The 10,718-nt window shown below is 45.0% G+C and overlaps 1 long non-coding RNA gene across 1 annotated transcript; it reads left to right on the plus strand.

The window, feature by feature from the left end:
* The first annotated feature begins 879 nt into the window (after positions 1-879).
* LOC401471 (uncharacterized) lies at positions 880-1,671 on the plus strand. Its single transcript, XR_001745729.2, has 3 exons — positions 880-1,042; positions 1,219-1,413; positions 1,566-1,671. It is a non-coding gene; the product is annotated as an uncharacterized LOC401471 (long non-coding RNA).
* The last annotated feature ends 9,047 nt before the right edge of the window (positions 1,672-10,718 follow it).

Here is a 10,718-nt window from a genome sequence, read left to right on the forward strand (position 1 = left end):
GGGAAGGACAAATCGGAAGAAGGTGCACACTAAGCTGTGTCTGGTTCCAGATCCTGTTTCTAAGGAGCTGCTGGTGGGCTTGTAAATGCAGGTGGGCGTGGCCGACCCTGAAGGCATAGCACCCCCAGCCCAGTGACTGACCTGTGTGGTAGACATTGGAGGTCACATGGTTTAAGAACCTGGCACATAAATCCTTCCTGGAAAAATAATCACATTGTATTTCTTGGTGTTTCATCTCCTGACAGGGGTTTTTCTTTCTCTGGTGTTTGAGATGAAAACAAGCTGTGACCTGAAACTATAGACACTTCTCAAGGATGATGGTATGTTGATAGAATGTAGTTAAAATGCTCATTAGGGATCATCTACTATTGTAAAGAACAGGGTAGAGGAAGAGTAGGGTAGGCAGAGTCTCTTAATCCTTGGATTTATTCAACAGGATTTTACCAAAACAGGATGAACCTCTGAAAAAAGACAAGCATTTACAATAACATTGTAAATAAAACCTAATGAAAGACATCTGAAGTCTACAGACAAATGAACAGCCTTAAGAAGCCTGAATCTTACAGGCAATGACCTTTGCCAATAGCTTTAATACCAATAGAGTTGCTGATATTGATTATCCAATCTGTGGCAGGTAGGAGTCCAGGAGTGCAAAGGCACTTGGGACAGTGGGTTTGGGAATATTAGCTGGGTGAGAGGAAGCAGTGGTCCTGAAACTTAATGTTCCTATGATTTAACTGGGGCTGAGTAGGTCTGAGATGGGGCCTTAGATTTTGCTTTTTTAACAAGCAATGTCTATGCAGGTGAGTATTAAGAATAAACTTAAACAGTTTTTCCTCTGCTCTCACACTAACACAACAACAGTTATCAACACAGACAGGAGAATTCTGTTATCCCCAAATATGAGGGGGTTTCTCCCCATCAGCAAGCAGCCCATCAGTTCTGCAGTGGACACCAGCTGGTTGCCCTCCGATTCAATTCTGACATCGTCTACTGGAAGATAGTGTCAGATCCCACAGGTCTGACTCTACAGAGACCACAGGTGCGTGCCACCATGCTCCCCTAATTTTTAAAAATGTTTTGTAGAGATGGGGGTCTCACTATGTTGCCCAGGCTGGGACTCAAGTGATCCACCTGCCTCAGCCTCCCAAAGTGCTGGGCTTACAAGTGTGAGCCACCTGGCGCAACCTCAACACTCATATGTTTCTATTTGACTAGATTCTTTGAGTTGCAAGGAATGAAGAGGTCACTCAACCTAGTTCAAGCGATGAGGTTTATGGTGAAGAAATTGCAAAGCAGTGAGAGTGATGGAAACTTCTGGAAAACAGGATTGTGGAGTAGCCAGGCCTGGAAGAGACTGGAACCAGGTATCATCCTGAGTCCAGGGCAGCTCAAGGCACCTCAGGGGCAGAGGTTTGTGTAATTCTTTATTTCTTGCTGTTCTTCGAAGGGCTTTCTTTTATCTCAGAGCTTCCACTACCCCATGCTTCTCCTAACTTCTGCCAGCTCGCCGCCTCTCAGAGCCCCTCGTCTGACTCAAAGTCTCTGTTTCTGCTTCCTTTCAGCATTTTCCCCACTGAAGACAGGACCCTTGCTAGTTTCTAATTCAGGCCTCAAGAGCAAGAAGCTGACCCGCCCCTCCTGGCAGGCAAAGCACATCACCCAGGCGCCCCAGGGCCCTGCCAGCCTGCAACCAAGCTTCTTAGTCAGGCTAGGTGTGCCCCAGCTTTCTAAACACCTGGGGCCAGGAAGGGGCAGGATGGGCCTCATGGTACAACCTCGCTGCCAGGACAGCAGGTGCTGCCTCCTGGGAAGGGCCTTTTAAAGATATGGTGGGTGTGGTATTTGCCTCCTCTGTGAAATCCACGGCTGGCTGAGCTCCAAGCTTTGTAGTCCTTGGAGAGTTAATCTTGGTGGCTCTCTCTTATGCAAAAAAAAACTTCAGAGAAGTATTGGGAGACTTCCTATTTGGAAATTTCTAGTCTGTACTGCTAAAGGGAGTAGGGGTAGGGGAGTCATTTTTCAGTTTTTTTTCTTTTTCTTTTTTTTTTTTTTTTAGGCAGGGTCTTGCCTTGTTGCCCAGGCTGGAGTGCAGTGATGCAATCACGGCTCACTGCAGCTCGACCTCGCAGGCTCAAGCGATCCTCCTGAATAGCTGGGACCACAGGTGTGCATCACCACACCTGGCTAATTATTTTGTAGTTTTTGTAGAGATGGGGTCTCACCTTATTGCCCAGGCTGATCTCAAACTCCTGGGCTCAAGTGATGCTCCCTCCTTTGCCTCCCAAAGTGCTGGGATTACCCATGAGCCACAGCACCTGGCCCATTTTTCAGTTTTTAAAGGTCTGGTGGTTTTCCGAAACCTTCACTTGGGATTTGGCATGTTAATTACGACTAAACCCCTGATCCTTCCCCACACCTCCTGGGGGATGATTAGGTCAGGGCCAGGCCATCCCCGCTCCTCCTGGAGGCTGCAGGAGGCACTCCACACATCTCCCCACGGGCAGCATCTGCTCACTCCCTCTGCTCATGTTTATTGAGCACTCGATGTGCTAGGTACAGTTCTCAGACCTGGGGGTACAATACTGAACCCAAAAGACAACCGTCTCTGTCCTCATAGAGCTTATGTTCTAATGAGGAGAGACAATTCATAAATATAACAAATGTGTGAATTATAGCTTCCGTTAGAAGGTGATAAGTGCTTCAGGAAAAGAAAATATGTCAGAGTAAGTGGGGTAGGAAGTGCGGGTGAGGAGAGGAGGTAGACAGATGAAATGTTTGATAGCACAGGGAGGGTAAGTCATTGAGAAGCTGTTATTTGAGCCAAGCCTCGATGGAGGTGCGGGAAGCTTTGAGAATTTTGTAATATCCCCCAGCACAAGACACTAGAGGCACCTTGGAGTCTTGTGAAAGCAACACTGAAAACTCTGGGAATAAACAGCAGAGAAGTAAGGGTGTGACAAGTCAGGAATATTCCATGGCTATGCACCAAGAATGGCCCTGCACAAATATTTAGGAGGAGTGGCAGTGAGAGGATTTGAGGGTCAAAAGTGTTAAAGTAGAAATATGAGAAATTACAACAAAGTCCAGGTTCACTTCAGTGTATTATTATTTTCATTTTTTTGTAAAATATTTTGAAAAATTTCAAAATAAAGTTGCTAAAAGACTTTGTCGTGATAATGACGTTGCAGTTATGTAGGAGAATGGCCTTATTCTTTTTTGTTTTGTTTTGTTTTTGAGACTGAGTCTTGCTGCGTCACCCAGGCTGGAGTGCGGTGGCACAGTCATGGCTCACTGAAGCCTTGACCTCCCAGACTCAAGTGAACCTCCCGCCTTAGCTTCCTGAGTAGCTGGGTGTACAGGCAAGTGCCATCATACCCAGCTAATTTTAAGATTTTTTGTAGAGATGGGGTCTCGCCTTGTTGTCCAGGCTCCTTGAACTCCTGGACACAAGTGAACCTCCCGCCTCAGCCTCCTAAAGTGTTGGGATTATAGGCGTGAGCCACCATGCCCGGCCACTTTATTCTTCAGGGATGAAATATTTAGGGATAATATGTCATGATGTCTGCAACTCTTTTTTGTTTGTTTTGTTTTGAGACTGAGTCTCACTCTGTTGCCCAGGCTGGAGTGCAGTGGCGTAATCTCGGCTCACTGCAAGCTCCGCCTCCTGGGTTCATGCCATTCTCCTGCCTCAGCCTCCCAAGTAGCTGGGACTACAGGTGCCTACCACCACGCCCGGCTAATTTTTTTGTATTTTTAGTAGAGACGGGGTTTCACCGTGTTAGCCAGGATGGTCTTGATCTCCTGACCTCGTGATCCACCTGCCTCAGCCTCCCAAAGTGCTGGTATTACAGGCATGAGCCACCACGCCCGACTGATGTCTACAACTCTTTCAAATAGTTCACAAAATGTATTTTATAGAGACAGAGAGATAAGGCACATATGGCAAGATGTTACCAATTGAGGAATTCAGGTGAAGTATATATGATGTACCACTCTTTCAACTTTTCTATGGTTTTGAAAATTTTCAAGATAGAAAGTTGGATTCTACTCAGGTATTTACTCAAGAGAAATGAAAATATATGACTACACATAGACTTGTATGTGAATGCTTATGTAACATTATTCACAATAGCCACAAATTAGAATCAATCCAAATGTCCATCCACTGTTAATGGGTAAACAAAAAGTGGCATATCCATTCAATGGAACATAACTCGGCAAGAAGGAATGATCTACTGATCCTAGCTACAACATGGATCGACCTCCGAAACATGCTACATGCAATAAGCTACAAGCAAAAGACTACATATATATAATTTCATTTATGAAATGTCTACAAAGGGAAAATCTATACAGACAGCAGATCAATGGTTGCCTGAGGCTGGAGGTGAAAGTGGGGTTGACTGCAGATAGGCACGAGGAAAGTTTGTGGGGTGATGAAAATGTTCTAAAACTGGATTGTAGTGATGATTGCAAACTCTATAAATGTCATGTACTGAATTAAGGACGTTTCAGTCAACAACAGACTGCATATACGACGGTGGCCTCATAAGATTATATTGCCATATTTTTATTGTACCCTTTCTATGTTTAGGTGCACAAATATTTACCATTGTGTTACCATTGCCTACATTATTCAGTACAGTAACATGCTATACAGGTTTGTAGCCTAGGAGCCACAGGCTATAGCTTGTAGCCTGGGTGTGGGGCAGGCCACACCATCTAGGTCTGTGTAAGTGCACTCACACAACGATGAAATCACCTGATGACACATTCTCAGAAAGTAGCCCTGCCCAGATCACCTGAGGTCAGGAGTTTGAAACCAGCCTGACCAACATGGTGAAACCTCATCTCTACTAAAAATACAAAAAATTATCTGGGAGTAGTGTCTCATGCCTGTAATCCCAGCTCCTCAGGAGGCTAAGGCAGGAGAATCGCTTGAACCCAGGAGGCAGAGGTTGCAGTGAGCCGAGATCGCGCCATTGCACTCCAGCTTGGGCAACCAGAGCAAAACTCTGTCTCAAAAAAAAAAAAGAAAAAGAAAAAAAGAAAGTAGTCCTGCCATTAAGTGATGTGTAGGTATACTAAAAATCATTGCATTGGATATTTACAATGGTTAACTTTTATGGTATGCAAATTATGCTTCAATAAAGCAGTAAAAAATACTTGAGAAAAAAATATCAAGGTTTATTTCTCTACCTGGGAATCTAATGATGAGACTTCATTCGACAAATATTTTTTGGAACCCTTACTATGCCAGGCACATAGTAAGGGTTCACAAAAATATTTTTCACTGTCTGCTGAACCCTGGGAATACAATGCTGAATAAAACAGGCGCTGAAGTTTGATAAGCCTTATGAACTATTTGTTTGGTATTTTTTCTTCTCTTTTCTTTTTTTTTTTTTTTTTGAGACAGAGTCTCACTCTGTCACCCAGGCTGGAGTGCAGTGGCGCGATCTCGACTCACTGCAACCTCTGCCTCCCAGGTTTAAGCGATTCTCCTGCCTCAGCCTCCTGAGTAGCTGGGATTACAGGTGCATGCCACCACGCCCGGCTAATTTTTTGTATTTTTAGTAGAGATGGGGTTTCACTGTGTTAGCCAGGATGGTCTCAATCTCCTGACCTCATGATCCGCCCGCCTCAGCCTCCCAAAGTGCTGGGATTACAGGCGTGAGCCACCGTGCCTGGCCTTTTTTTTTTGTTTTTTTTGAGACGGAGTTTCGTTCTTGTTGCCCAAGCTGGAGTGCAATGGCGCGACCTCGGCTCACTGCAACTTCCTCCTCCAGGGTTCAAGTGATTCTCCTGCCTCAGCCTCCAGAGTAGCTGGGATTACAGGCGCCCACCACCATGCCTGGCTCATTTTTTGTATTTTTAGTAGCAATGGGGTTTCACCATGTTGGCCAAGCTGGTCTCGAACTCCTGACCTCAGGTGATCCACCCGCCTGGGCCTCCCAAAGTACTGGGATTACAGGCATGAGCCACCGCACTTGGCCTGTTTTGTATTTTTTCTATGAGACATGCCTGGTGGTAGAGAGATTTGGACTGGCTAACCTGTTTTTCTTTTGCTGCCACTTTGTTTGGGTTCTATCCAAAGCAAACCTTGGGATCAGAGTTTGAGTGTAAGCTGTTTATTTGGCAGATGTAGTGGGTTGAATGGTGGCCCCTCAAAAGATATATTCATGTCCTAACCCCCGCAACCTGTGAATGTTACATTATTTAGAAAAATAGTTTATTGTCAATGTAATTAAGTTAAGGATCTTGAGATGAGATTATCCTAGATTACCCAGGTGGGCCCTAAATCCCATGACAAATGTCCTTAGAAGAGACAGAAGAGGAGAAGGCATGGACACAGAGGAGGAGAAGGCCGTGTGAAGATGGAGGCAGAGATTACAGTGATGCAGCCACAAGCCAAGGAAGCCTGGAGCCCCCAGAAGCCAGAAGAGGCAAAGAAGGATTCTCCCTAGAGCCGTCAGAGTGAGTGCAGCCCTGCTGCCAACTGGATTGTGAGCTTCTGGCCTCTAGAACTGCAAGGAAATTAATTTCTGTTGTCTTAAGCCACCAAGTTTGGGGTCATTTGTTAAGGCAGTCTTAGGAGAGGAATACAGCAAGTGATTCCAGGAAGCAGAGGCATGGAGTGGGAAAGTGAGACGCAGTGGGATGCAAGCCAATAAAGGGAATGCTCAGGGGTGCATCGCTGCCCTGGGGAGCTTCTGAGAGGAGTGAGAAGGCCGGGCTATCCCCCAGCTCCATTCTTGCTGGTTGAGGGTCACTCCTTTGGGCTCAATGCTCAATATACTCTTGGTCTGCAGAGCATGCTCCTAAGGTATTGTGTGTAGGATTTTGGAGTGGACCAAGGGCTCTGGACAGAGTGGAGTGGACAGCAGCTCCTCTGCCCCTACCCTTTGGCTGCTCATTGATTAGCTGAAAGCCCTACAGGCATAGGTATGGGAAGAAAAAATGAGGTTCAGTAGATAGAGAGTAACATACTTTGACACCCAAAACAAATTAGACTGGTGGACTCCAGTTAGAATGTCCAACTCCAAGACCTGATCAGTTCATGTATCCACCTCTGGCAAATATGTGACAGGTGACTCCTTTCTGCACAGCATGGAAATATTAATCCACTTTCTTTGGGATATTATAGTTGGAATATGAGTTTTTTTCAGGTTTATTTTAGAATATATTTGATAACTTCCTGTTTATTAATATTGAATGGAATGTTCACATGTTCCCATTATATTTGTCTTACATGTAAAAGCTCTATAATCGTGCATTAAATCAACCTGCCTTGTAGTATAAGCTAGAAATGCTGCTAGATGCTCTGTGTGGAGACTGGATCTCCAATGACTCTGGCACCTCACAGCACCCAGCACAGTGTAAGAAAACAGCAGGTGCACAATAAAGACATGCTGTTAGGTTTATCCCTCTCCTTCCTGGTCTCTCCTTCCAGCCCCTGGGCTCCATCACAATCATTTCCAAGCAGTGCTCCTGCAGCTTTCATTTCTTGCTCGTCTGTTATTTGTTGCTCCCAGCCAGCAATGTTCTTTTCTTGTCTCTTTTCTTCTAGTCTCTCTGGGTAGATTCCTGCAGTGCTTTTTGGCACGGCTGGGTGGGGAACTCTCCGAGACTGTCTACATCATTTTTCAAAGCTCCCACCATCAGACTTGGCATTTCATATACAGCTTTGAACACTGTCAACTGGTGCCTTCACCTTTTCCCTTAATGAGGGCTCAAGGGTACCCTTTAGCACAGAATAAATGTACACATCTGAAATTGAACATTAAAATGTATCTGCTTGTTTTAAAACTCAGTTTTTCCTTTTCAGGTTGGAGAACGTCTTGGAAATGGCATGCCTTTACTTGTGGGTTTCCATTAGGGCCTCCTGGGTATGATCCTGGCTGTAGCCTCCTTTTTTCTTAGCTATTTATTTCTCTTATGAGCTGGAACTGAGAGGGAAGAGGATCCGGAGGACTAAGGTAGTTTTGTTCCTAGCCATCTTTGGCTTGAATCCTTTTGGCATCCTCTGATAAGCAGAAATAGCATCATCTGTCTCTACTAATGGCATTATCTTAGCTGGAAGAAGTGATTTATTCAAATGCTCTAATAATTATAGCTCACATCTATCGAGTGCTTACCACACGCCAGGCTCCTGTGCTAAGTGCTTGGCATTCTTTATCTCCATTTTCATCTTCACAACAACCTTCTGAAGTTGCTCCTTTATCATCTCCATTTCACAGATGAGGAGACCGAGACTTGGGAAGTCTAAGTGCATGCTGGAACCACACAGGTAGTGGAGCTAGGATTCAAGCCCAGGTCTGTTTGACTTAGAACATGTGACTTAGAACATGTGAGTTAGAACATGTTCTGAACACAACTTTCAGGGCACATGGCCTTGGATCGCAAGACTCCCTCATCTTCTGCTTTTTAAAACAGTTACATGGAGAAGTGACTCCATGTTGAAAAGGCAACCACAGCTTCTGAAAGTGTCCTTAGGGAACCTCACTATTAGGAGCCAGGTCTATCCAAGTCAGTACAAATGAAGCGAGGGATGCTGGCCAAGGCACAGGGTGGGCTTTTTCTGTTCAGGAAAACAAGGTTGTTTTTAAAAGGAGATTTGTTGAAAGGGACATTAGAAGGAGAGTGTGAACACTTTGGAATGTGGAGATGGACGGGGAGTAAGACCCAAGCATCTCACACCATTTGGGGCAGCATCAAAGCTTTTATGAGTGTCCTCTCCCATAGCAACTCGGCACCTCTGCTGGTTCCTGCCTCACCTGTCCTTCAGCTTGTACCAAGTCATCCACTCAGGAGGCGGAATTGTGCTTTGCTGTCATGAAATCTCTATTGGGGAAGATCAATGGAAAAAGGACTACTCAGAAGACAGGGATCAGCTCAAACCATTCATTCCTGGTTTTCATGGGGGTATGAGGAGAGCAGAGCAAAGTGTGTGTGTGTGTGTGTGTGTGTGTGTCTGTGTGTCTGTTATTGTGTGTGTCTGTGTCTGTTATTGTGTGTGTGTGTGTGTGTGTGTGTTTGTAGATGGGGTCTCTGGCTCTATTGCCCAGGCTGGTCTTGAACTCCTGTACTCAAGAGATCCTCCTGCCTCGGCCTCCCAAAATGCTAAGATTATAGGCATGCCATCACGCCTGGCCCAGAGCAAAGAGTTTTGACCGCTGAGCATCCAAGGATTAACAGGGGACTGAAAGCAGGGAAGAAACGGGTCTCTGGTGCATGGGGTGCTGGGGAACAAGGAAAGTGGTGGCCTGACCCTGGTCTAGTCAGATGGGCAGGTGTTGCCCTGGCCCCAGGGAATTCTGGCCCAGCATGGTCCTGCCTGAAGTGTGTCCTGGCTTCCTGTCTTTCCTGGCTGTCTGGCTTTTATCACACAGGAACAGAAGACATAAATAAATTGGGAATATGGATACCATTTAAGTGACTCTGAAGAGTTTTGTGGCAACATGGACCTGTTTCAAGAATTATTTTTAACTGCAGACATTTGATCCTAGTGGGAAATAAAACTTAAAAGGACAGTTATAATTAGGTCACATTCAGAGAAACTTATTACATTTTGCTGTATGTCCCAGGAGTCATGTATCTTAAATGATTTTAATATTTAGATTCGATCATGGTGCAGAATTTCATTTTTCTATGTAATAACGGGAAGCAACCAAGAGAAATTGTGGTAGCAGTATTAGATAAAAGTAAAGGCAGGAATGCCTTTAATTTGGGATAGAAGAAAGAGAACCAGCGTACAGTTTGTCTCCTCACCTCCCCCACTCTCTTTTCACCTTGGCTGCATCCTAAGATATTGTTTGTGAAGGGAGCCTGGGTCCTTCCACCTATATTCCCCATTAAGTATGCCTTTATTTCTGCTTTGGGTGAAAGTTTGACCAAAAACAACCCTATCATTTCCCAGGTACAATTTAGTGAAGCAATTTAGTGGAGGAAAGGCTGGTATCTCATTGAGAACAAAATAAACATTAACAGTGGTTGTAATATTGTTGCTATGATCTCTGTGCAGGTTTCAGAGCTGATGGCCAACTGGGGACTAGTTACAGAACCCTTGGGAGTGAGGCAGGCAGGAAAGGGGGAGAAAGGTTGGAGGTGGGTTAAGGAGAAGACAGTAGCCAGAACGGGGGTCATGCTGTTCTGTGGAATGTGTTCCATGAGAGCTTTATTAGACTGCAGACTGGCAGTAGTCAAGGCTTTTTGCTCTATATTATTCGGATGCTTAAACAACTGGTGAGGTCTGGCCAATCTCTTTTTCCTCAGACTATACTATCCACTAAAAAGAAGATTTAAAATAAGGAACACTAAAATTTATCTGTATAAGAGTGAATTAAAATAGCCCAGAGCTGTTCTCTTGCTCTGATAAATACATAATATATTGTTACAACTAAGTACCTGTCCACATAAATGATTTTACCAGATGTTCCCTGGCCCTTTTCAATATTGAAGCTCATAGCAGTGGCTCAGACTCGGCTTGCTGCAACCTCTGCCTCCCAGGTTCAAGCAATTCTCCTGCCTCAGCCTCCCGAGATGCTGGGATTACAGGCCTATCACACCCGGCTAATTTTTGTATTTTTAGTAGAGATAGGGTTTCACCATGTTAGCCAGGCTGGTCTCGAACTCCTGACCTCAGGTGATCTGCATGCCTCAGCCTCCCAAAGTGCTGGGATTACAGGCGTGAGCCACTGTGCCCGGCCAATCTGTAC

The sequence above is a fragment of the Homo sapiens genome, chromosome 8 (assembly GCF_000001405.40).
Source record: "Homo sapiens chromosome 8, GRCh38.p14 Primary Assembly".
NCBI lineage: Eukaryota > Metazoa > Chordata > Mammalia > Primates > Hominidae > Homo > Homo sapiens.